At 45.2% G+C, this 27,716-nt stretch overlaps 1 protein-coding gene across 17 annotated transcripts in view, besides 2 other annotated features; it reads right to left on the minus strand.

The window, feature by feature from the left end:
• Positions 1–27,716, minus strand: part of SYN3 (synapsin III) — a 550,562-nt gene that overhangs the window by 453,684 nt on the left and 69,162 nt on the right. For all 17 annotated transcript variants that reach the window (NM_001369909.1, NM_001369907.1, NM_001135774.2 and 14 more), the window contains one exon: positions 19,142–19,199. In NM_001369909.1, the coding sequence (NP_001356838.1) occupies positions 19,142–19,199 (58 nt within the window). The remainder of the gene's footprint in view (positions 1–19,141; positions 19,200–27,716) is intronic.
• Positions 24,581–24,875: a silencer, noted in NCBI's record as "tiled region #592; HepG2 Repressive DNase unmatched - State 12:CtcfO, and K562 Repressive DNase unmatched - State 12:CtcfO". NCBI's record gives its function as "represses a minimal TATA promoter and a strong SV40 promoter by Sharpr-MPRA in HepG2 and K562 cells {active_cell/tissue: HepG2 | K562}" and the evidence as "EXISTENCE:reporter gene assay evidence [ECO:0000049][PMID:27701403]".
• Positions 25,451–26,352: an enhancer, noted in NCBI's record as "H3K27ac-H3K4me1 hESC enhancer chr22:33382939-33383840 (GRCh37/hg19 assembly coordinates)". NCBI's record gives its function as "activates a minimal SCP1, AML or CMV promoter by ChIP-STARR-seq in naive H9 embryonic stem cells {active_cell/tissue: H9 hESC(naive)}" and the evidence as "EXISTENCE:reporter gene assay evidence [ECO:0000049][PMID:30033119]".

A 27,716-nucleotide genomic window follows, 5' to 3' on the forward strand; every position in this document is an offset into this window, starting at 1 on the left:
CCCATCATATATTTACCAACTGAGCTCATCTCATGATCCAACCACTTTATCCATAATTTACCATCCTGTTTAAGTAGCCTCGTAGCAACCCCACAGAATGTGAGAACTGCAAGTTCTTTTCAGGTCATCCAGTGGGTTTGGTCTTGCTGCCAGCTCTGGCTGCTGTGCAGAGAAAGATAATGAGGCCGCCCCTCAGCTGGGCTGGAAGGCATTGCCTTCATTGAACAGCGGAGGGCCGGGGGTTGCACATGCTCTGTATATTTCCCAGTTCCTCCTTTTACAAATGAGTCAACTTACATCCAAAGTTCCCTTAGTGTTAACTAAAACAGACCAAATTCTCAACGTGTGCTGGACATAGTAGCATTGCGGTTACTAGCTCCATTCTGTGAATAGAGAAACATTAGCTTGGAACCTTGAACCACTCCCTTGAAGTCCCCCAGGTAACAGGAGGCAAAGCCACGATTCAAGCCCTTGTCCATCTGATCCCGGGTACAGCTCTGTCCATCAAACCAAAGTGTCTCAAAATATGGCTTCTTCCTACTGAGGCAGCAAAAAAATGTTCCTCCACACAAATAAAATACTATAGAGGAGTCAGTGAGAAGGAGCCTGTTTACTTTTAGAATCTCTTTTTTTTTTTTTTTTTTTTTTTTTGAGACAGAGTCTCGTTCTGTCGCCAGGCTGGAGTGCAGTGGCGTGATCTTGGCTCACTGCAACCTTTACCTCCTGGGTTCAAGCAATTCTCCTGCCTCAGCCTCCTGAGTAGCTGGGTCTACAGGCGCCTGCCACCTCACCCGGCTAATTTTTGTATTTTTAATAGAGACGGGGTTTCACTATGTTGGCCAGGATGGTCTCGATCTCTTGACCTTGTGATCTGCCCACCTCGGCCTCCCAGAGTGCTGGGATTACAGGCGTGAGCCACTACGCCCAGCCTACTTTTAGAATCTTAATGTAATTTCCCATTAAATACATGCAGAGAACAGTTAAGGTAAGACTGAAAAGAAACCCAAAGCCACGCGGAAGCAGTATGATGGGGAGAGCAGATGATATCTCAGGAATGAGGCGGCGAGTTAGCTGTGGGAGTGAGGAGGACACAGTGTTTTATAGAGCATGGGCAGCTTGGGAGCCAGACGGAAGCCAGACAGACAGGAGTTCAAATCCTGGCTCTGCCAATTCTAAGCTGCGTTGCTGGGCCTCTCTGAACCTTAGTTTCTTTGTCTGTAATAGTAACAGGTAACTCACAAGATCACTGTAAGCAGAAAATTGGGTTATAGATAGTAAAGTCTTGGCAGAGTATCGGCATCTATCTATCTATCTATCTATCTATCTATCTATCTATCTATCTATCTATCTGTCTGTCTTACCTACCTACTTATCTACCTATCTCTCTCTATATATATATAAATATTTATCTATCAATATAGATAATAATGACTCTTAAACAATTTCTCTCTATATGGGTATAAATGTATATATATAGATTTGTATATGTATGTATATGTATATATACATTTATATAGAGAGAGGGATAAATGGCTTAAGATATTATTATTGTCTCTATTATTGACATTACAAAATACTTTTTTTTTTTTTTGAGACACAGTCTCACTCCATCACCCAGGCTGGACAGCAGTGATGCAATCTCGGCTCACTGCAATCTCTGCCTCTCGGGTTCAAGCCATTCTCGTGCCTCAGCCTCCGAGCAGCTAGGATTACAGGCATGTGCCACCATGCCTGGCTAATTTTTTTTTTTTTTTTTTTTTTTCAGTAGAGACAGGGTTTCACCATGTTGACCAGGCTGGTCTCAAACTCCTGGCCTCATGTGATCTGCCTACCTCAGCCTCCCAAAGTGCTGGGATTATAGGCATGAGCCACTGTGCCTGGCCCAAAATACTAAATTTAATGAAGGTGTTTAGGGGAAGGAAAACCTAGTTCTGAACTGATTAGAGACCGCAAAACAGAAGCCTGGAGAGTTAGGTTCTAGAGAGATGGAGAAAGCATAAGTATATGGATGGATGGATGGATGGATGACTGAACAAATGGTCAGATGCATAGATATTCATTATATAGAAATAACACTTTTGGACACCAACATGCAGAACTTGAGGGAAAGCCACCATAAACAAGAAACCTTATAAATTAATTATTTGCCTCCTCCAATGTCTCTCATGGGGACCACTAAGCAGAGAGAGGAAAAGAGAGGTGGTGAGAAAACGAGGCTGGTGCCAGGTTAGGAAGGGCCCTGGTGCTGCCTAAAGACTTTGGCCTTCATCCCATAGACATTGAGGAGCCTGCACCGTGGAGAGCTAAGGGAGCCAGTGAGAGACCAAAGCAATTGTACAAGAATAAGCAAATTAAGACGAGTAATCAAAATCTGGTTCTGTCCAATGAATGCAAAGTTTGGGGTTTCTGGCACTTGGCTGGCCCAGCAAGGGGAGGTTCAGGCCCCTCTGCTTTCCCTTGCTTTTCCTGGCAGCACTAGAGGGGGTGAGCCTTCCCGTCTCCTCCCTGTCTGGACAGAAGGCAGGCCCTGAGGTGGGCTGGGTGGGGAGGGCACCAGTTCAGTTCCATTTTAAACAGGCCAAGAACTCACCCATTAGCTCACGACATGAACCTCAGGGCTGTTGCTTAGGGAAGAAAGGAAGGTTCCAGCAACATGGCTTAAGAACTATCGCAAGGACAAAAAACCAAACACCGCATGTTCTCACTCATAGGTGGGAATTGAACAATGAGAACACATGGACACAGGAAGAGGAACATCACACACCGGGGCCTGTTGTGGGGTGGGGGGAGGGGGGAGGGATAGCATTAACATGTTAAATGACGAGTTAATGGGTGCAGCACACCAACATGGCACATGTATACATATGTAACTAACCTGCACGTTGTGCACATGTACCCTAAAACTTAAAGTATAATAAAAAAAAAAAAAAAAAAAGAAAGGTCAGAAAACCCAGAGAGGCTGTCTGTGGTCCCTGAGAACATGGATCTGAAAAATTGCTTTAGGCTGTAAGAAGCAGGTCATTTTTCAAGTCTGGCTGGGCAACAGGTGAGTCAGGGGAAAACAGGTAGACACAGGTTATGATCACAATTCTGCCACTAACTAAGCAATGACCTATTCAACTTTGCCAAGCCTCAATTTCCTCATCTGAATAATAATGAGCCTTACACCTCAGGAGTTGCTGAAGGACGAAATATGTTGAAAAGTTAAACGCATGAGGGCAATGAAAAGCACATCACTGAACTAATAGTTTATTTTCCTTCTTGACCATATACTCAGAACTCCACAAGTACAACCCTTGATGCCCCATGACAGAACTTAGCTCCATTTCCTGTCTGGTGCTGACCTTTTATTATTGCCAAGTTCTTCCCCTTAGGATGTCTAAAGTCAGACTTGGCAAGGAGGAGACAAAGGCAGATGGTAGTTTGACTCTACAGTAACCAGCAGCATGACCCAAGCAAGAAACTGCACCTCGATCAGTCCCCATTCAACAGATGAGATAGAAAGGTGGTCAATGCAGGGGTCAGTGGTATGGGCTCTGGAGCATCTGGGTCCACATCTCAGCTCTGCCATCTCCTAGCTGTGTCGCCTCGGGCAGGACACTTAACCTCTCTGAGTCTCAGTTCCATCAGTACTCTGTGGGGTGGTGATGAAAATTAAATGTATACAGATAAACTGCTTAGAGGATGGCTTGCACATTGTGTAAATGTTAATGTCAAATCTTGCTTTACCTGCACTGTACTATATCAATGATTTATCTGCATGATTCCTGCAGGGCTAATGCTTTGTTTGTGTTGTTTACCATGCCAAAGGCTCTTTGGGTTCTTGCAGTAGCCTAAAGCTTTTCTCTTTAGCTTCTTTCATCTTTCCCCACTCTGGATAAGTTTGAGAAATATATATTGAACACAGATTAGGTATCTGGGTCCTTGGAGCACCTATTATGTACCGAATAAGTGTCCTGCCAGCCTCCCCACCACAGTCTACCATAGCACTGTGTACCCTACTTTCACGGCTTCTAACAGTTTGTAATTATGGTGCGTACGTGTGTGTGTGTGTGTGTGTGTGTGTGTGTGTGCATGCTTGTGTGTGTGCGTAAGAGAGAGAGAGACAGATAGATAATATGATTAATTTCTGGCCCCTGCCATTAGATGTTAAGTTCCATCAGGTAGAGATTCCATCTGGCTTTTTCGTTGTTGTTGTTGTTGTTGTTTTATGATGGAGTCTCGCTCTTTCGCCCAGGCTGAAGTGAGTGGCACGATCTCGGCTCACTGCAAGCTCCGCCTCCCGGGTTCGCGCCATTCTCCTGCCTCAGCCTCCCGAGTAGCTGGGACTACAGGCGCCCGCCACCACACCCGGCTAATTTTTTGTATTTTTAGTAGAGACGGGGTTTCGCTGTGTTAGCCAAGGTGGTCTCGATCTCCTGACCTTGTGATCTGCCCGCCTTGGCCTCCCAAAGTGCTGGGATTACAGGCACGGGCCACCGCGCCCGGCCAGATTCCATCTGTTTTTAATCACCATTGTAACCTGAGCACGCAGCACATAGGCAGTCAATGAATATTTGTGGAATGAATAAAGATACTGTCCCTGTTCCCAATGAGCCCAGAGTCTACAGGGAGCGAGGGGCAGGTGAATTAGTAATCTCAAAGTCATCTGGGAAGTGTGATGTAGACACAGGTATGAGGTGCTAGGGGAGTACAGGGAAGAGGCACCTCACCCTGCCTGGATGGAGGGGGAGGGCAGAGGAAGCAGCACAGACATCATGTTGGAGCTAATGTTGAAGAATCTATGGCAAAATCTAAGAAAGGATGTCCCAGGAGGAGAGACGTGCATAAGCAAAGGCATGGAGATGTGACTCCAAGATGGTATTACCATGGGTGGGCACTGGGGAACCACAGCAGTTTGGTGAGACCGAAGTCTAAGGTAGAGCACGGGAGGAGATGAGCAAGGAAAGGCAGGCAGGGGCAAGCTCATGGAGGGCCTTGTGTGCAGAGCTTGAGACCCCCAAAACAAGTCTAATGCACAGGTCAGCCCTTTATGCATGAGAGGAAAGTGACCAAGCCTTCCCTGGATTTTACTGCTTCAGGATACACCTTCCCAGATGAGCCAGCATAAAGATTAAGAACCATAAACAGGCAGGGCATGGTGGCTCACACCTGTAATGTCAGCACTTTGGGAGGCCAAGCTGTGGGGACCACTTGAGCACAGGAGTTTGAGACCAGTCTGGGCAATACAGTGAGACCCTGTCTCTACAAAATATTTTAAAAATTAGCCAGGTGTTGTGGTGCGCACCTGTCATCGCGGCTACCCAGGAGGCTGAGGTGAGAGGATGGCTTGAGCCCAGGAGGTTGAGGCTGCAGTGAGCCATGACTACACCACTGCACTCCAGCCTGTGTGACAGAGTGAAACCTGTCTCAAAAAATAATAAAATAAAATAAAAAGAACCATAAACACAGATTCTTCAGTTAAACTGACTCTGAATTCCAGTTCTGCCACTTGTATGCTGTGTGGCCTTGGGTAAGCCTCAGGTTCCTCATCTGGAGAATGGGGGAACTCATAGTACCTGTTCATCAGAGTCATGATGAGGATGAAACACGCTAATCCATATGAAATGCTTAGCGTGTGCCTGACACTTAGTAAGCATGTGATTAGATACTGCCTATGATCATTAATTCCTTCAGAGCCCAGGCTGTACAGCTGCCATCTGCCTCAGGCACCGCCAGTGGAAACTCTCTCAGGTCACCCTCTAAAACTCCCTGAGATGAGGGGGCCAAGACTGGACCAAAACGGGTCCAGTTTAGGTTGAATTCTATTGTAAAGTAAATAGTGCCTTAGAACTACTAAAATCCTATGTGATACTAAAGATAGACATTGTAGGGCACATAAACTCGTTCTCTGCTATCAGCCTCCCAGCTCCTTCCTGAGGGACTAGAAAATGCGCCCAGACTGTGTATGATCCAAAGGAAGTCATTTCAATGCCTAAGTCCTGTTGATATGTCAGCTCACTCCCCTCCTCAGGAGACTCTGCTTAGAGTGGGCTGGGAGATTCCTTAGACAATCTAATAGATTAGTTTCCAGTTTAGCATAACAGCCAGACAGATTTTTGCAGTGAAGTCATCCAAGTCAATTAAAAGGCATTTTTCCCTGCTGTGAGTTCAGAAGTCCCTTTGGTTCATTCCAGTTTTCTGGGATGTTTCATAATAGGTTCCACCCTAGGTTAATTAATAACCCTTGATTCCCACTGAAATGCAAAGGCTCAAATCCACTGTGTAAGCACATCCGGGCAGAGGCTGCTGGCAGGGCTGGGGTGAGCCCAGTGGGGGCTCCTCTCATCAGGGAGTGGGCCAGACCCCAAATGGTACAGACAACAGCAGAGCTGGCAGAAAATGTAGAGTAGCCACACAAAAGCTGAAGGCCACGCTGGAGAAGTGGTGTAACCAGGGGCAGTAGCGCATGGGGAGGGAGATCATCAACAGATGAAGGAATCACAAGGCTGGGGATTAGGCAGATTGGGAGCAAGTTGACATGTGCAGTGTGAAACGGCTTAGTCCAAGTGGCTGGACTAAGGTGGTGAACAAGAGGAGGTTGGCAATGGCTCGCTTTCAAGAAATGCCAGCTGAAACACATCATGTGGGTCTGACTCCATCCTCTCAGTCTTAAGAAAAATAGGTCATCTCTTCTCCTCCAGTTTCAAATACGAATTACAGGTATGAGAATGGCTCAAGTGGTTAAGGAACACAGTGGCGAGGATGTACATGCATTCACTTAACACTTATGAAGTCCCTTCCATGTGCCTCCTACCCAAGCATCATATTCAAGGATGAGATGACTTTTGCACCAAATCCAGAGCTGAGCTTTTCTGCCTCCAGTCTCAAGCCACCATTCCTATCCAGCGAATCTTCTAAGACCACTGTCAGCCTGTGCATTCTAAAATGAAATCACGGTCACAGCACTCCATGGCTTAAAAAGTTCAATACATACATCCTGCCTCTAGGACACAATTCTTAGTTGCATGCCTTGCACTAATAGCCCACCCTGAATAGACTGCCCTCCACCTTCTTTGTCAGCTTCGTCTCCCACCAACCCTTCTCATGCATGGCATACCCTGGTCATTTGCCCTGTACGTGACAAGCTGAGACTTGAATCATGCTCTTTAGCTAGAAGGCCCAATGTGCACATCTGCCCACTCACCCTCACCTAATTCTTGTCCCCAAACCCAGCTGCACATCAGGTTCTCTGTGAGGTCTTTCCTGAGAACATCCCAAGGTTAGACAAATCTCTACGATAGAGAGATCCTCGTCGCAACACATTTTGGCCACTGCCTTCAATGTCTATCTTCCCACCAGATAAAGAACCCTTTGAGTGTGGAGGGCTCTGTCATTAGGACAAAGTACAGAGCAGGTGCTCGGTGAGTGCTTCTTGAATGAAGGAACAGGTTCAGATAAGACAAGCTCTGTTTGTTTTGTTACACATCCTTCAAGAAGTGAAAGGGCTTACTAAGTTCTCCTTCAGAATGTCCACTTAATTTCCACTGGAGTCTCATTTATCAATGGTACTAACAGGGGGCCGTGCTGATGCTGATGAAGTGGTGTGGCAGTAAGGAAAGGTGAATTTCCAAACACAGCAGCTAAAGGCCAAGGAACTGAGCTGGGTTTCCCAGTGCAAGAGGATGGACTCCCTTTGACTCCCATGCCTCCTTCCTTCTCATCTCCAGTGCAGGTGCTGAATGGTGCCACCAAACCAGGATGCTGTACTCTCCTCCAGCAGAAAAGAAGAGGAGAGTCTAAAGGGTCATGCAACGGGCAACACAGTCCATGTTGTGTTCAGAATCAGCGGGGCTCATTCAACCTTGGTTTCAGCATTCCCCAGCCCTCGCTGCTTGGAGCTCTCCTTTGGCTATCAGCTATGGTTCAGCACTCTATCCTAGGCTCCTCCCAAGAAGAAGGCTTCTCACAGGTAAACGTGAAAAACATAAACTTCATTTGTTTTTGCTATTTTTTTGCTTGCTATTAAAACCATCAGAAGGGACTAATGGCTTCTTAAAAGGGAAAAACAAAAGATGGCATGGGCAGGGGGAGAAATGCAGTGTGAAAAGCAGGGACCCAGGAGATGAAAGCTAGTGCTCTCCACACTTTGGACTCCAACAATAATTTCACGTGTGTGCTAAGTCACTTCCCCTCTCTGAACCTTTCAGCTGTTAAACAAGGGAGCAGGATTAGATAATCTCCTAGGACACTCCCTGGCTCTATCCTTCCATGACTATGTCACACCTTCAACTCACTCACGCATTCACTCAACAAACATTCATTGCATTTTTTCTTCAGGTCCAGAGTCTGTGCTATCTACTATCAAAGAGACGTTAGAAATGGATGACAGGTGCCAACTGAATGTTGTATATCAATGGGAACTATGATTGAACATATGTGTAAATAATCAAAACACACACACAAACATAAGCTTTTTATATTTTTTATCCCACAAACTGCACTGCAAACTTCTTCAGTGCATGGATTATATCCTTTCTATTTCTGAATGCTTCAAGAGACTGAAGCCTAGAAACTACTCAGACAAATGTGTTTAGTGACGTGAAGCTGATCATAAAAATAGTTCTAATATTTATTAAGCACTTTCTATATGCTAGGCTCTGCTTCAAGTGCTTCATGCAGTCTTATAGTAACTTATTTCAGTCTCACAACTATATGCGCACTTACTATTTTATATGAGGAAACTGAGGCATGGGGCAGTTAAATTACCACCTCAAGGTTACTCAGGAAGTGGTGGGGCCGGGATTCAAACCTAGTTGATCTGGCTTGAGAGTCCAAGCTATTATACTATCCAGACAGTCTAAAGACATAGAGCTTAGCTGGGCGTGTTGGCTCACACCTGTAATCCCGACACTTTGTGAGGCCAAGGTGGGAGGATCACTTGAGCCCAGGAATTCAAGACCAGCCTGGGCAACATAGCAAGACCCCGTCTCTATTTGGAAAAAAAAAAAAAAAGATATCACGCCACTGCACTCCAGCCTGGGCAACAGAGCGAGACTCCATCTCAAAAAAAAAAAGAAAAAAAAAGGTAAAGACGGAGAGCTACGTTTAAAGACAATAATGAACATCAGCCCTTGGGGGAAAACAATGAAAAAATATAGAATTGTTAACAGAGAAACTATGCAGGAATAAGCCAGAAACATGAAATGATGAATAATAACCATTGGGGTTAGTCAGGAAAAGAGGACTGTTTTGCTGGGAAAACACCTCATATGAATTTGTAATTTACCCAGTAGATCAAAAGAGTAGGGTGAGATAGGAAGATACTGTGGGATACGTACTCAAGCTGGAAGGGGAAAGGCAAAAAGCTTTGTAAAGACAAATTCATGACCAGCATATATTCTGATAAATGTACTTTGATTAAGAACTAAGACCTTGGAGTTAGCCAGACCTGGGTTCAAATCCCATCTTCACTGCATTCTTACTAGCTGTGTCACATGCCTGGGCAATTTATTTAAGCTCTCTGGGTCCCAGTTTCCTCAGCAACAGGCATACTGTGTGGATTGAATGAGTTACTGCATGGAAAACACTTAATGCGGCACCTAGCAAATAGTAAATGTTCAATAAACTTTGCTTCTATCATCAATGTTATTGTTTCTCCATTTTCTGTAGAGTTCTTAAGTTGATGAGCCTAAAGGTAGACCCAGGAAGCTGATAAACCTACATTAATCAATGCCATGGTTAGGAAGGGAAACACTCACTTCTCTAATGAGTTATGTTTCAGCTAATGGGCCCTAGTATTCCACCTGCTTTTTTTATCCCCCCAGCTGGTTCTTAGATTTGAAAAGAAAAAGGCCTCCATGGAGACCTGCACGCTTTTAAAAATAATACAAAACAGAACATCTGAGGTCAGGGTAAGCCAAGCCAAACAAATAAATCTTGCAGGATTGTGTTAACAAAACAAGGCTTAGTGGATCAGAGCGGGTAGAGTTCTGTCCGACTCAGTCCTGCAGAGAAACACCAAGCTCTGGTGAATTTCAAACACAAGGAGGTCAAATAGGAAGATCAAATTATGGAGCACTTCAGAGTTCAGCATCCATGCCTGGGCTGTAACCAGGAAAGCATTCTGTGCAGGATGGACTCCAGAACTCACGGGTCACGTACAGTCCTAGAAATCGAGACCAGAAGAGTCTTACGGATGAATTCTATGTGACCTCTATGGAAAGTAATTTTGCAATATCTATCAAAATTATAAATGTGTTCTCTTAGGTTGGGTTCTCTGGAAAGCAGACCCTGGGATGGATATTAGCCTGGGGGGAGGTTTATTAGTGAATTCCCTGGGAGCTCCATCACTGGAAGGGGGAAGAAAAGAAAGGAAGCAGGACTGTGAGAATTTGGGCCACACAGCCGTCTCAGCAGAGGTCTCCGGCAACTCTGCAAGAAGCTCTGAAGCCGGACAGCCCTTCAGAGTTATCCCAAACTGGGGTGATGGGGACAGGGATTTATTATAGCCTCTGACGGCCAGTCATTGGATGTAACTGCCACCAGGAAGGAGATGTGACCTTGGAAGAGGCAGCTCTCCTCATCTGAGGCACTTTCAAGGAGGAATGACAGAGGAATGAAGAAAAGTCCTTCATTCCTCAATGTGCATTACAGCATCCACCACCTGCAATGCTTTTGGAACAAGTTATCCTATTTCTAGAAGTGAATCCTACAGATCGATTAATAAATGTTTGAAATGACATAAGTTTAGCATTGTCTATAATAGTAAAATTATGGAAAACAAATTATGGTGTATCCATATGACAGACCCCAGGCCATCCTTAACAAGAATGAGGCAGGTCTGCATATACTCTCATGGAATAAACTCCAAGAAATATTAAGTGAAAAATGAGGGTGCAGTGGAGTATGGATAAGGAGAAAGGCATGTGTAGATGCCAAGTAGCCAAAGGGGTGGACTGTGCCAGTCACTGTCTATTGCCACTCATCCTTCTATAGTCTCTCCTGCACTATGGGAGCTGAAAGCCTAAAATCTGCATTCCCCAGATCCTTTTGCCACATAATTTCAGCTCATTTCTACCAATGGGAGGCATTCATGCAGGAATTGAAGGTAGAAAGAAGGCAGCAACAATTCTGCTTCTAGTGGTAGTTACAGAAGCTTCACCAACAACTATAGCAGTTTGAACAAGTGGTGGCAATTCCTGTAGCCTCAGTGGAAGCACAGGTCTGGCTAAGTGCAGTAGCCCACACCTGTAATCCCAGCACTTTGGGAGGCCCAGGCAGGAGGATTGCTTGAGCCCAGGAGTTCATGACCAGCCTAGGCAACATCGCGATGCCTTATCACTACAAAAACTAAACAAAGAAGAAAAAAAAAAAGCTGGGCATGGATGGTGGTGCACACCTGTGGTCCAAGCTACTTGGGAGGCTGGAGTGGGAGGATCACTTGAGCCCAGGAGTTTGAGGCTACAGTGAACCATGATTACACCATTGCACTACAGCCTGGGTGAAAGAGGGGGACCCTGTCTCAAAAACTAAACAAAACAAAACAACAGCAACAACAAAAAAGAGCCCAGGCTCCTCATTCCTCAGTGACAATAGTGACAGTGACAAACAGTGAATGTAGGACTGTTGTGCCTCTGGGTAAAATGATTTCCCCTTTTGATCCATTTGTAATCAATCCTCCTTGTTAAATTCCCTCTGAAATACATAGCATGGTTGATGTTTTTCTAACCAACCACCCTCTGTGAAAAGCATATATATGTATTTGCTCATTGCATTTAAAACTTCTCTGGAAAGGTGCCCAAGAAACTAGTGATAATAGTTAAGTACATGGAAGAGAACTAGATTGGTGCGGGCAGAGTGGGAGGCAGACTTTTCACCACATACCACTGTGTAGCTTTTCAATTTTTAACTATTTGAATATACTACTTTTACCCCCGCCAAAAAAGAAAAAGATTAATAAAGGTTATCTCCTATAAGCACATTAATTTCCTGTGAAATATTCCCCAAGGTAGCCACCCAGTTTCTGCCACAGCATTTCCAGCACAGGAGGCGCCCTACCTACAAAAAAGGCATGGCCCATTCCTTATTAGTTCAGCACTACTTAACAGTTTCTGTGTAGACCAAGTTGAAATCCATCTTCCTGTAGGATTGCACCAATAGACTGAACTCGAACTCCAGTGAAACAATAGAGGGTGATACTTAGCACAGAAACCTGGGTTCAGATTCCTCCTCTATCACCCATTTCTGCTGCTTGTTTAACATCTCTGAGCCCCAGCTTCTTCATCTGCTAAAAGGGACAAAGTACCCATCTTTTGTTAGTTTGTTTGTTTCAGACAGAGTTTTGCTCTTGTCGCACCCAGGCTGGACGATCTTCGCCCACTGCAACCTCTGCCTCCTGGGTTCAAGCGATTCTCCTGCCTCAGCCTCCCAAATAGCTGGGATTACAGGCATGCATCACCACGCCTGGCTGATTTTTGTATTTTTAGTAGAAACAGGGTTTCGCCATGTTGGCTAGGCTGGTCTTGAATTTCTGACCTCAGGTGATTTGCCTGCCTCAGCCTCCCAAAGTGCTGGGATTACAGGCATGAGCCACTGCACCCAACTCAAAGTACCCATCTTAAAGAGGCATTGTGAGGTTGAAATAAGATTATGCATGTCAAGTGCTTTAATCAATACTTTTGCTTATTGTTCTTGATATTTACAACACTGGAAGAAAAAAATATACAGTGGATAAGAAGAGGACCCTGAAGTCAGACTGGCTAGGTTCAAAAACAGACCCATGCCACTTATTAGTTGGGCAACCTTGGGCAAGACACTTACTCTCTGTGAGTCTCAGTTTCTGAAAGATGGAGGTGATAACAGTGCCTACTTCACCCATAAAATGCATTCAGCTTTATCTCATAAGGACTCAACAAATGGTAACTTACTTTATCAACCATACTTGTTCAAGAGGTAGATATTTGTAAAGAGTAGACTGGGACCTATCAGAGACCTTTCTTCCTCCGGACTAAACATCTCCAGTTCCTTAAACGAATCCTCTTTCCTTATTGGCCTTAGTTTCCCTTACTCCAATCCCTTTTCAGAAGGCATTCCAGGTTGCTGCAACCCCCTTCCAGAGCAACACACAACTGGATCTCTTATTAGAGTGTCTCACTAGCATTGTGTGTGTGTGTGTGTGCATGTAAGAGGGAGTGTATGAACTATCACCTTCCTGCATTCTAACTGCTGTGGTTTGATAGTGCAGCCTGAAGTGACATCAGGTTTTAGGGGAGTAGCAATCTCAACTGTAGTTTATTGAGCACCTAATACATGTGCCGGAAACAAATGTTCAGCATATTACATTAACTCATTTTGTCACACAATAACTCTAGGGAATAAAATTTATTTCATCATTTTCAGGTGAGGAAATTGATTTAGAGATGTTTTAGGTAAAAAGCAAACACAGCTAAAATATGACTGAGCTGAGATTTCATCTTCAGTCTATCTTACTCTGGAGCCACGATCTTAACCCCTACACCGCATTTCCTCCCACACATATTAAGCTGTGCTCAACTCAAATGTTAGGTCTTTTTCGTTTTTCTCATGTGATGTTAACAAGATAGGTCTCCCCAGCTGGGTGCGGTGGCTCATGCCTGTAATCCCATCACTTTGGGAGGCTCAGGCGGGTGGATCATGAGGTCAGGAGATTGAGACCATCCTGGCCAACATGGTGAAACCCTGTCTTTACTAAAAGTACAAAAATTAGCTGGGCCTGGTGGCAGGTGCCTGTAATCTCAGCTGCTCAGGAGGCTGAGGCACGAGAATCACTTGAACCCAGGAGGCAGAGGTGGCAGTGAGCGGAGATCTCACCATTGCACTCCAGCCCAGCGACAGAGTGAGACTCCGCCTCAAAAAAAAAAAAAAAAAGTCTCCTTAATCCTGCTCCTTCACAGCTGAGTTTTTGAACTCAGCCCATCAGCTTAAGGTCGTCAGTCATCATTTTTTAGTTTTTGCAGAGACAGAGTCTCACAATGTTGCCCAGGCTGGTCATGAACTCCTGGGCTCAAGCAGTCCTGCCTGGGCCTCCCAAAGTGCTGGGATTACAGGCGTGAGCTACTGCAACCAGCCGAACCTGCACTCTCCCTCTCACTGAGGCTGCAGGAATTGCCACCACCGACTCGACTTTATATTGTATTCCTATTCAATTTGATCACATCAAATTTAATCTGGCGTATTCTCTCTCCCATCTAGTTTAAAGTCATTAGCAAATGTAATTTCATAAGTCACTAGTAAGAAGGAAAACAAAGCCAAGGACAAGCCTTTTGGCAAGCCATTAGATTTCTCCCAAGGTGTATTTATTTCTATCAAGTAATCATTTCCTAATGAGGATGATGTTCAACCTGTTACCAAACCACCAAACTGAATTAACATCCAACTTACACTTCTCTATCTTGTTGACAACTGTTTCTTGAAATATCACCTGGTCTTTATGGTCAATATCTACAGCTAAGGTCCATTCTAAGAAATGTCCCAGAAAGAATTGTGGGTTGAAGGCTGAAGTGCATGTGAGAAAATATAAATACGGGGTCTGAAGTGTTTAAAATATTTTAAGGGGAATATCTCATCTTTCCATTCAGAAGACATTGATGTTAAATACATAAAGGGCAGAAGATGAACAGGTCTCCCAACAGCAGCCTCCCCTGGACAGTTTCCTAACCCCATCCCAACCCAATATTACACAAGGACAGTACTCAAAGGAGCAACTAGTATTCATATGTAAATCCATGGGTCGTTCTGGCTTCCTTCATTGGATTGGGAGTTGCTCAAGGGCAGGGTTTATACCTTCTCTTGCCTTTTGCTCCACCTGCTAGAGCAAGGCATTAGTGTTCTTTCTGCCTTGGTACCTCTGTCAACACGGAGGAAAGACTGGCCGTGGTGATTTCAGTCTTCTCTTTTAAAAATTAGAGACTGAGGCTCTACCCTAGCAAGTCCTAGTCCACTGATGTCCCAGAACTGTGAGTCTACTTAATATTAATCCATTCATCAACCTCACTGCTTGGTCCCACAGAGGGGTGACTTGTGCCTGTGGAGAAAAAGACCCTTTGCCTCAAATATAAACAGAGGAGAGTTTGACATGCCAACCATCCTGGCCTGATCCTCTCAGACCCTACTAGGATACTGCTGTGAGGGCCCCGCAGAGCCAGTAGGGCATTCTGGGTAATAGAATGCAAAATGTGCTGTCTCCTCCACGGGCCTCCCCAGGGTTTCTTGATTCCTGGCTCTGTAAAAGTTGAGGCAAGCAGTTTTTAGACTGGGGGGAAGAGGATGGAGAGAAGGGGCGGAGGCTTCCTCTAGGCCAACCACAACTAACTCATTCGCTCTGTCCAGCAAAACCCAGACAGTGCAATTATCTGGTTAATTTGGCCCTTGGTTGGGAGACAGGATCCCAAAATGTGAGGCCAGCTCAGACTAAACAGTGGCTTCCGTCCTGAGACTTTTCCCAAGTGCTAAAGGATGCATGTGAGATTCCTGGGGGGGGGGTTGCTTGTGTGTTCCACCCATTGATACAGATGGGCAAAGACAAGTGATTCTGATTCCAAGATGGATTTGGAAAGGTATGTCTACTGGGGAAAAATGCCCAAATGACCTGCTAATTGGTTTCCTGGCTAATTCACCTTCTGGCTTTCATAGAGGGGCAGGTTGGAAATCAGAATGACTCTAAATTAGCCAAGGTTTCTCAGTGTGATTGTAGACTTCATAGACTGGCTGACGGGCCCCAGAGCCCCTGGGTGAGTTATTCTTAGGGCAATTCCCTGATGGTCCTGCTCATAGATTTTGTACTGACAAGTTGGGCCAATGGCATTGCTAAGATAAAAGGGGAAAATTAAAACATGCCCCTGGGATTTCCACACATGGGATGAGGCAGGGTGAGCTCAGCTGGCAACCAAGTATCTACCAGATGGTTTATGGAAAACCCAGATTTTTGAGGGGAGATTAAGAAGTGGTAGCCATGTGTGGTGGCCTGTAATCCCAGCACGTTGGGAGGCCGAGGCGGGTGGATCACGAGGTCAAGAGATCGAGACCATCCTGGACAACATGGTGAAACCCCATCTCTACTAAAAATACAAAAATTATCTGGGTGTGGTGGCAGGTGCTTGTAGTCCCAGCTACTTGGGAGGCTGAGGCAGGAGAATTGCTTGAACCCGGGAGGCAGAGGTTGCAGTGAGCCGAGATTGCGCCACTGCACTCCAGCCTGGCGACAGGGTGAGACTGTCTCCAAAAAAAAAAAAAAAAAGAAGCGGTGACTTATCGCCCCTGGAAACTGACAAGCAGCCTGGAATCTGTAGAATCTATCAGTTATTCATCCTGCAAATATTTCCTTCAGTTCTCTTTTGTGCCAGGCCCAGTGCTACTTAGGGTAAGATCCAGACAGTCATAGTCTCCACCCTCATGCAAATCGTCCCACTCAAAATGTGTGGCTAGAAACTCAGATAAGGGCCAGGAAGAAAAAGTTGAGGAGCTATGAAAGGGAATAACCAGGTTACCTGATTTAAATCTGGAAAGACTCAGAGAAGGAGTCTTTGAGGAAAGGATTGTAAAGCTAACACTTCAAAGAACCTAATTTGCTTTTTGAGGAAGATCACTCTAGCGTTGGGATGAAGAATACATTGGAGATGGGTGGAAAACATGAAGTTGTGAGGCTGTTGATGAGGAAGACTGGACGAGAGTTGAGGGTGGTCCAGCCAAGGATCTAGGTGATGGGGATGAAGGGAGAAGTGGAGGGACCAGGAAATATCAGATGCGGAGTCAGCAGGGTCCAGTCATTGAATGGGTGCAGTGGTACAGGGAGAGGGGCACATCCGGGAGCCAGAGCAGGTTTCTGGCTAAGGTGGAAGGTAGATGGCCACACTCTTCATTGAGAGAGAGAATTAGGGAGGAGTAGGGTGGGCGCAGGGGAAGATGATGTGTCCTATTTTGGAGAACCACACCGCATTCCCTGTCACTCCATACCCTGTACTTCTGGTCTCCTTATCTTTGCTCACACTGCCTCCTCCATTCACACGCTCTTCACGCCACCATCTCCACTTGTTGACATCCTATCCATTCTTTGATCTATTTCAAACACCACTCCCTCCTCGAGGCCACACCTGAGTCTTTCAGTTGACTGTGACCTCTGCTGCCAGGAGTGCTAAGTTTGGACCTCTCATCCCTGGCTTCTACCTGTAAGTTCAAATCCCAGCTTCACTGCATTCTTACTAGCTGTGTGACCTGCCTGGGCAATTTATTAAGCTCTCTGAGCCCAAGTTTCCTCAGCAACAGGCATACTGTGTGGATTGAATGAGTGACTGCATGGAAAACACTTAATATGGCATCTAGCAAATAGTAAATGTTCAATAAAAGTGTGCTACCATCATCAATGTTATTGTTCTGTAGGCCAGGTGTGGTGGCTCACGCCTGTAATCCCAGAACTTTAGGAGACCAAGGCAGGTAGATCATTTGAGGTCAAGAGTTTGAGACTAGCCTGACCAACATGGTGAAATTCCATCTGTACTAAAAATAGAAAAAAAATAAAAAATAAAAAAATTAGCCGGGCATGGTGGCACATGCCTGTAGTCCCAGCTACTCAGGAGGCTGAGGCAGAAGAATCACTTGAACTCGGGAGACAGAGGTTGCAGTTCACTCCATTGCACTCCAGCCTGGGCAAGAGAGTGAGACTCCATCTCAAAAAAAAAAAAAAAAGAAAGAAAGAAAAAGAAAAGAAAAGACTTAGCTCACCTCTCCTCCTAGACCACAGGCATTTGGAGACTGGGCCTCTTCTTCTATATACTCGTTCTCCACATATTAGCTAGCTAGCATAGTAGACTCTTGACAAATATTTGCAAAATGAACAAAAATAACCTGTTCTCTGCCATGGAAGGAAAACCAGTAGACATTGGGTTGACTTGAAAGCCACAGAATCAAATTGAAATTCAAAGTGTAGGTGTTTTAATATTAAGCCAACTTAGTTTGCTTAGAAGACCTTTCTGTTTCTCTGACACGGTAAGCTCAAAAAGTGCAGGGAGAAGAACAGTCATGCCCCCCATTTTAAAAATTGTATTTTGAAATCATTTTTACAGCAAGGACCTTGTCTATGTTATTTACTGTTTGCCTTTGATGATGAGGAGGAGGAGGAGTAGGAAGAGGATAAAGAATAATGATGCTGATGATAAATGGGTAACATTTACTAAGTGCCCAGTATGTGCCAGGTACTGTTCAAGCACTTTTCATGGACTAACTCGTTTGATCCTCACAGCACCCTATGAACACAGGCTGATGCTATTATTGCCCCAGTTGGACAGATGAAGAAATTGAACTGGAGGGAGTGTAAGTATTGCTCAACCAAGGTCACAAGGTTAGTAAGGGGCGGTGTTAGGATTCAAACCTGGAGTATGGCTCCAGAACCTATGCTCAAATGTGCTCTCCTAAGGCTGAGCACAGTGTTTGGCAGAGAGGAGGTCCTCGCGGAACGAACAGGAGAAAGCTTTGATCTGGAGCCAGGAGACCACACCTTCCACTCCTGATTCTGCCACTGCCTCCCTACACAGCCCTAAAAAAATCTGTGTTTCTTTCCACATAAAATGAGGGACCTGGATATTGATATTAATAGCAATAGCAAGAGATAGTATTTGCAATTCTGGTCCCTTCTGAGGTTTTAAATAATTTAATCCCCACAATGATATAAGGAAATCAAGGCAGAGAGAGATTAAGTCACCTACCCAAAACCTAGAAAATGAGAGAGGCAGGATTCAAGGCCCTTCATTATGTTCCTAAACTATGCTCTCTAGCCCAGGTGGCTGCAAGGAGATGCCCCAGGGGCCAAAAGGAACGGTATAGAACAGACAGAAGTTGGGCTCCACCTGCCCATTTCCATCAGAGCAGCTCTACGTGTCTCTCTTTTGTAGAATGAGTTCCTATTTGACATTTCCCTTGAAGAAAGGGTCTCTGCTAAAACATAAAAGGTTGGAAACCACTGGCCCAAACAATTCTGAAATTTAATGAGACTCCCAAGTATAAGCTTGGACTTTTCTGGTAATCTTGGCTCATTATGACCACATAAGATGGGGACCAAGATTGCATGTAAGAACAGCCCCAGCGGCAGAAAAGGTCAGTTGACAGTGCTAAAGACACAGCTCCCACCTACCTGCTCCACTCGGATCTCAATCTCTCCATTCACCTTCTTCCCATGGAAATACTTCGACCTGTAAAGGGGAAGAAATCAGCTGAGTAAGGATGCAGGCTGTTTTACTCTTTTCTCCCTTCTCCCAAAGGCCTTACCCCAGAGGTGCATATTGAGACACATCCTCAGCCATCCTACTGTCTCCTCCCACCTTCACTACTGATTTTCTCAGTCTTTTTTTTTTTTCTTTTGAGACGGAGTTTCACTCTTGTTGCCTAGGCTAGAGTGCAATGGCCTAGTCTCGGCTCACTACAACCTCTGCCTCCCAGGTTCAAGCGATTCTCCTGCCTCAGCCTCCCGAGTAGCTGGGATTACAGGTGCCTGCCATCACATCCGGCTATTTTTTTTATTTTTAGTAGAGATGAGGTTTCACCATGTCGGTCAGGCTGGTATCAAACTCCTGACCTCAGGCAATCCACCCACCTCGCCCTCCCAAAGTGCTGGGATTACAGGCGTGAGCCACCGCGCCTGGCCGATTTTCTCATTCTTTATAGGTGGTGTGTGGTAGAGGGGAGATGGTGGATAAGATTGGAGGCTCAAGTTCTAGTTCTGTCACGTCACTTGACCTCTCTGCATCTCAGTTTTAGCATCTGTAAAATAATGATATTAATAATTTTGCTACAGGCCGGGCGCTGTGGCTCACGCCTGTAATCCCAGCACTTTGGGAGGCCGAGGCAGGTGGATTGCCTGAGGTGAGGAGTTCGAGACCAGTCTGACCAACATGGAGAAACCCCATCTCTACTAAAAATACAAAATTAGCCAGGCATGGTGGCACATGCATGTAATCACAGCTACCCGGGAGGCTGAGGCAGGAGAATTGCTTGAACCCGGAAGGCAGAAGTTGCGGTGAGCCAAGATCACGCCACTGCACTCCAGCTGAGCAACAAGAGCGAAACTCAGTCTCAAACAATAATAATAATAATAATAATAATAATTGTGCTACATATTTCTAAGGGTTACTTTGAGGATTAAATAAGAAAAAGGATCCCACATAAAAAGGTCTGAAATGATGGCTATGCTGACTATCCTAATCTAATCATTATACGTTACATGTATCACAACACCAATACGTACCCCATAAATATGTAAATTATTATGTATCAATTTTAAAAGAATTAAAGGATGTTTATAGTGTTTTATCCATATTTTTCTTAAATTCATGATTTTCATCATGTTATCTTCACATATATGTTAATCCTGTCTCCCCTACCCTTTGAAGGCAAAACCACACATGGTTTATCTTGGTATCCTCCAACCCTCCAATTTAGTCTTCAGAAATATGTTGAATGTATAAAAGAATGATGATTGCTAGAAAGTGTGTAATTTAAAGACTTTAGAAAATACAGTTTTGTTTGATCCAGTTTCATTCTCAAGTATATATGTTTGTGTTCTTTTAACATTAAAAATGTTATGGCATTTTAACTCTCAACAAAAATCAATGTTTTAGTGACGCCCATTATCCAAATCTTCTAACTATTCAAAAAAGGGAATCCTACAAAAATAAATAATGCAGTATTGTTTTATTGAGTTATACCTATATGCCCCACATACTCCACCAAAGATTTATTATTGATCTATCCAGTCTCACCCATTTCTCTATTTTTCTATTTGTCTAATAAAGCAGTCCTCATTTGTTCCTTTGTCTATCTGCCATCCGTCCGTCCTTCCTTCCTTCTTTCCACAGACTTCCTTCTACATCCCTGCCTCTGTCTTCCCCATCATCAGTACATGACATCCCTATCTACCCATTGTTTAGACATCATCCCTACACTCACTGATTCTACATTTTAATTATTTCTCAAATTCATTTACCTGGTGATTTTTCTCCATAAGCACCCTAATCCTGACCTATGATTCATCTCTATACTGAGAGTCTCTTCATATTGTTTTCATACTATTTATTACAACAATAATTATAATTAGTAACTGTGTTTAATGTCTGTGTACCACTAAACTATACCACAGCTCCTTGAGGTCAGAAATAACCTATTGTATTCATCACTTTCTTCCTAACACCTACCAGAGTGCTTAACACATAGTAGGAAATTGATTAATATTTGTTGAATGAATACATGAGTGAATGGACTGATGAAAAAACACTTGTTGAGTATCAACTCTTGTGCTAGAAACTCTGCTATAGAGTTTAACCTACAGCCTTTCTCATTAACACTCACAACCACCACCACGAAGTAGATATCATTATTTCCAACTTACAGATGAAGAAACTGAAACCCAGAGAGACTAAATATTTTGCCTAAGGGATTTGAACCCAGGACTTCTAATTCCATATCTGTGCTTTTGCTCAACTCTGAAAAATAGCAGTGAAAATTGGGGTCTTTATAGGTTTGGATATCGTCTCACAAAAAGTAACAAAGTTTCCATTTTCTCTTTTTGATTATTGGTATGATGACACTAATAGTTCTTGGTGACTTGCTGTGAACTGAGCATTGTGTTAAGCATTTCCATAAACCTTCTCTGGGACGGAGACAGCTCTTTGCTTCCTAATACTCATTCTCCCCTTTTCCCACAGTAAGAGAGTTGACAGATTGGTACATAAAAATGTGTACCCCAAGTCTCCCATCAGCTGGATGCAGCCACATGATTTATTTCTAATGGATAATTTTTTAAGCATTAAACAACCTTCTTAGTCTCCTACTCTTTTCCTTGGAAGATGGATGTCATCACCCATTATTTTTCAGCCTTCCATTTGTGAAAGAATCCTTTCTACAAATTCACTAACTGCTTCAGCCTGTCTGCTTCCAAAGTCTCTCTACCTACTCTTAGCTGATGCTGGTGGAGTTAATCTCTTCCCAAAACTGACTGACAGCTCTGATATTAGCACCACTTTTTCTTACGTCCTGATGGGCTTAGATGTCAACTAGGCGGTAGTTTAGTAGGAAAGGAACTATTAGTATGACTCGAAAGCAAGATTTTGATTTTTTTTTTCTTTCAGCAATGGTCTTCAAATAAATACCCATGTGGACAGCCTCATGCAAAGAGAATCTTTTCATACAGTTTGTGAATTTTATCGTAATCCTTAAAGGTAGTATCAGCAAATTCCAGACACCAGGACAAGCCCATGTCTAGTATTTGAAGTGCCTGGGGCAAAGCGACAAATGGAAACCTATGGGTCATATGTCTAATATTTAAAATTGACAAAATCAAGCCAGCAAACATTTAAATAAAAGACATCTGTCCACTGGGCATGGTGGCTCATGCCTGTAATCCCAGCACTTTGGGAGGCTGAGGCAGGCGGATCACGAGGTCAGGAGTTGGAGTCCAGACTGGCCAACATAGTGAAACCCCATCTCTACTAAAAATACAAACAATTAGCCAGGAGTGGTGGTGGGCGCCTGTAATTCCAGCTGAGGCAGGAGAGGCTGAGGCAGGAGAATCGCTTGAACCTGGGAGGCAGAAGTTGCAGTGAGCCAAGATTGCGCCATTGTACTCCAACCTGGGCGACAAGAATGAAACTCCATCCAAAAAAAAAAAAAAAAAAGAAAAAGAAAAAGAAAAGAAAAAAGAAAAAAAGAGTCCCAAAGAGTCTGTCTTCCTTCCTTGGCAGATACAATTTCATAATGACCTTAAAGACTCAGAATGTAAACTTCTCAGAATTCTTTGCACTCTACCCAGCACGTGGCAGCACAAGGATTGCCAGCTCTTGGTTCTCAGACCTCACCCAAGATCTTCCTTAATTCCCCACCCACTCTCCTCTGCACCACTGAGGCTCCTGGTGCGGGTATGTGGATTGCCCAGACCACGTGGCCAAGCTTCATCTACTCCCTTCCCCTCCCCAAATGGTTGTCCTTTGGCCACCCCTTGGAAAATGGACCAAGGAATTGGCCTATATAGGCTCTGAAGTTGGGTTAAGGTCCCTTTGAGGAGGGAATTCTAGAGTTTGGGTACCCAGGGCATGGCCTAAGAGTGCAATTTGTAGGGTCTTGGTGGGAATATCCCCTCACTCCTAACTCCTCTGCCTGTCAAGAGAGGTGTGGCTAATAAGGACCAGAGCAGGATCCAAGGTAGGCATCTTTCGTGGATTTAAAAATCACTTGCTTTTAAATCCAAGCTCCAAATTTAAAAGAAGTACTGGGTGGGCCTGGGACCGGGAATGGTAACCTATCATTACAATCACCAGCATACTGGGAAAAAAAACATGGATTTGCAATCACACAGGCTTGGGCAAAATCTTAGCTCTACTACTCACTGACCATGTGTTCTAAGACAAGACACTTAGCCCTCTGGGTCTCAGTTTCCTCATTTGTCAAGTGGTGACAGTAACTACCAGGGAAGGGTGTGGTGAGAAAGTCACATAATCCTCTATGCAACAAGGCAGTAAAGTGCAATGGCTTCAGGGCATACAGCCTGGATAGGACCCCAACTCCTCCACTCACTTGTGCAAGCTTGGGTAAGCCAACCTCTGAATGCCTTAGTTTCCACACCTAGGAAATGAGGCTCATAGTAGTAGCCACCTCACAGGGTTGTTATGAGGATTAAATGAAACAAGGCATACAAAGCACTGAGAATAGTTCCTGGCACACAGTAAGCTGCAAAGTATGTAGTCCATGGCCTGAAACAGAATCCACAAGAGCAAAGAGCTATCGAGTGCTTACCCTGTGCCTAGTGGGTGCTGTGTGCTGGGGACCCACAAATAAACAAAACAATCTTACCCTCTTGGGGGTTCCAAAGCAGAATTATGACTCACCTTGCTTTGATCTGTCTCACAGGTGCAAGGAGTGATGGCTGGTGATGGGGAAAAGAGGTGGCCTTGGCCTATAAGGACAGCCAGACCCTTCACATCCTTCCTCCTATTTGACCCTCATGCCAACCCTGAGGGGTGGTAGGGCAGGGATTGCTCCCAACGTGTTCCAGATGGAGAAGTCTCTGCTCAAAGTCACACGAGTGATCTGGGTACCCAAACTCTAGAGGGAAGAATTTGGGTACCTTTCCTGGAGACCCTAAGTGGTCTTTCAGACTTTTTGGATCCAGTCCAGAGCCCTGGCGTCCTTCATGATCTGGACCCTGCTGACTGGGGGTCTGCTTCCCCTCCAGTTTGCTGTCTATTTCATGGTTGCATCCAAATTCCTGTGCTTCTCTAAATACTCCTGTGCTGTCCTGCCTCTGAACCTCTGCACAGGCCTTCACCTCTGCTTGGCACTTCCTTGATTGTCTCTTTCTCATGTTTCAAGATCCTATGAGTGATATCTACTCTGCTGAGTTTTCCTTGACAGCACCCCCTTCCCTAGCTGGGCTGAGCGTCCTCCCTTGGTTCCTACAGCACGCTGCACTTACAACCATTCCAGCCCTTACCACTTCACGTTGTCATTACACATCACTTAGCTGCCCTCTGCCCCCAAACATATAGTCTGTGAGCTCCTGGAAACCAGAAACTGAGTCTCCATGCTCACTGTGTCTCCAGTATCCAGCACAATGAGCTAGGGCACAGGACAACAGGCTTAACAAATGTTCGCTGACCGGGTAAGGAAATACTGTCTGTAGGCCGGCCTTTCCTGGAGACACTTGACTGCCATCTACTGGCACACCATTGTAATACAGTCACAGGTCTACAGCCACTGCGATGTGGGGGTGTGTACGAGGCCAACCTTCGCAACTGGCATTCCTCGACTTGATTCTAACCTGGAACCTGAAGCACTTTGCACTACACCAATACCACCCAAGCAGCTGTGGTCTTGATGAGACCTCACCTTCCCAGGAGAAACATTTGTTTTGCCCATCTCTGGAATGTTTACTGCAGGGCCTGGCAGACGGACTGGGGCTGAAGCTGAGGGTCAGGGAGTCCATCCCCCCGCCTGGCTGCAAGTCAGAAGTCTGTCTCCTGATGGGCCACACAGACTGCTGCCTCCTTGCCGGGGGCTCATTCAGGCTTCAGCCGCCTCTGAACGGTTCTGTCTGGCAGAGGGAAGGGTAGGGATGGTCTGGAATTCTAGATGCCTTTGGGGGCTGGGGTTGCTGCCTCTGTAATTGACTGGCTGTTTGACCTCAGGCAAAATGGATGGACCCGCTGTGCCTAAGGGCTCTGTCTCTCATGGCTGCCTCCTCTTCCCACCCTAATATGTTCAATCTCATAATAAGCTCCCTGAATACCTCAGCCAATCAATCAAGTCCTTGGCCTGGGGGAGCTCTGGATTCCACGAAGATTCTCTCTCCGTGGGTGGTCTCATATTTTACTGCCACATCTGAGGCCCCAGGAAGAAGAATATTATAAAACTGGTGCTGCCTGGGGTGGGAAATCCCTAGTTGAGGGAGGTGGGAAGTGTGTATGAGAGAGACTGATGAGGAATGGGTATGGGGCTCTTTTGTGGCTGCAGCAGGGGCAGAAGAAGGGGAATTCATACAAACAGGATCTGTGTTCAAACAGGACTGTTTTCCAATAAATCGATCCTGTATGTAGAGTTAACGCAGCCAGGGCTTGGTGATGTCCTTCCAAGGAAGGAGAGGTCAGGAATGTCCTGTCCCAGGGACAGCTGTCTCTCCGCAGGCCACCCCCACTGGGGGTGGAGTGGAAATAGAGAAAGAGATTTTCATGTTTCTGATGCAACATGTCAGTTGCTGATTTGTGGCCCAGGCAGAAGCAGGGAAGACAACCAATGGGCTGTGCAGAAAATGAAGGCAAAACACTCAGAGACTTTGCCAGTTAGCAAGAGAGTCACGTGGCAGGCTGGATGGGCAGAGATGTGGCAGAAGAAAGACCTTGGAACGCAAAGGGACCCAAGATCTGATTCTAGCTCCATTGTTTTCTCCTGAGAACAGCTCACCCTCCTGGCACCTTCCCATTGCCAGAGGGAGGAACCGCCCCCTCAACCGCAAACAATGGTGCAGCCTCTCAGTCCTCCATGCAATTAGCAAGGTCCAATGAACTAGGAAGGGAAGGAATGCACTAAGAGTGATGAGACTCCCTATGCCTGTATGGGGATCTGCGGAGGCAAAAAACTGAGACATAACAGGGCCCCGAGCCACAGGATGTGACAAATGATCCCCACCTTTTGCCTCTGAGAACAATAGAGAAGGAGATTTTTGTGGGCAGGATCTGATCACAATTCACATCACTTATTCACTCCCTCATTCAATCACTATTTATTGAGCCTTATGTGGACTAGGCACCACACCAGGCATAGGAGTAGATACAGCAGATACAGTGGCAGATGTAGTCCTTGTTCTTGGAGAGCTTACATGCTTATTGAAAAGACAAAAAATAAATAAATAAACAGATAAAAAGAATGAGTACTACGAATAAAATGCACGACCAATGGAATTGAGGATAAGATGTGGGGTGCAGGGGAGATTGGACTTCAGTTGGTAGAAAAGGCTTCTTTGAAAGACACTGAGGCCGGGAACAGTGGCTCATGCCTGTAATCCCAACACTTTGGGAGGCCGAGGTGGGCGGTTCACGAGGTCAAGAGATCAAGACCATCCTGGCCAACATGGTGAAACGCCATCTCTACTAAAAATACAAAAATTAGCCAGGCATGGTGGTGCATGCCTGTAATCCCAGCTACTTGGGAGGCTGAGGCAGGAGAATTGCTTGAAACCGGGTGGTGGAGGTTGCAGTGAGCCAAGATCTCGCCACTGCACTCCAGTCTGGCAACAGAGCAAGACTCTGTCTCAAAATAATAATAATAATAATAATAATAATAATAATAATAATAAAATAAATAGATAAAAAGAAAAGTACTATGAATAAAATGCACAACCAATGTGATTGAGGATAAGATGTGGGGTGCAGGGGAAATTGGACTTCAGTTGGTAGAAAAGGCTTCTTTCAAAGACGCTGAACATACACAGATAGACCACCTACTATGTGCCAGAGTCTGCAGGCTTTAAGGAAACAAGCGCAAAGACAACATAGCTAGCTCTTGGTCTCAGGGGGCTTACTACCTAATGGGAGGGACAGACACAAAAATAGAAAATGACCACACAGAGCATTCACACAAATATCCCCCTCAGCCCACAGAAAAAGCAGCCAACTCAGTCTGAAGGTCAGGGGTCACCTTCCTGAGGTCACCGTCCACCCATCCATCCAATGTTTGGTACCTAGTCTTTGCCAGGGCTGCAAAGATGAGTGCAGCAGGATCTGGATGTGTGTGTCTGCCAAAAGGACACGGGCAAGGGCAAAGGAAGTAGGTACGTCCTGGGGGCACCCAGGAGAGAAATGAATGTTCCTGGGTGTGTCCTTTAATGTACAACAGGCACAGAGCAGAAGACCTGGGTTTGAGTTGGCAGCTCTGGCACCTGCTGCCTGATTTTGGACCAGCCTCTGCTTCCTCTTCCGTAGATGGGGATAAGAAGATCTACTCACATGTTGTCAACAGGATTATATGAAGACACAGATTTAAGGGCCTCTGTAACCTGCCAAGAATGTGCTAGCAAATGAGCTGCTCCCCGATGGGCTGCAAGGGTAGAATTTGATCTCCCCAGGTAAGGAAGTGCGTGAGCACCACTAGCCTTGGAGACAAGCCCAGGTCCCTTTCAGCTATTTATTTCCAGTGCTGCCTCAGGCCAGTGTCAACCTTCCTGAACC

Source organism: Homo sapiens, chromosome 22, assembly GCF_000001405.40.
Source record: "Homo sapiens chromosome 22, GRCh38.p14 Primary Assembly".
In the NCBI taxonomy this organism is placed as follows: Eukaryota; Metazoa; Chordata; class Mammalia; order Primates; family Hominidae; genus Homo; species Homo sapiens.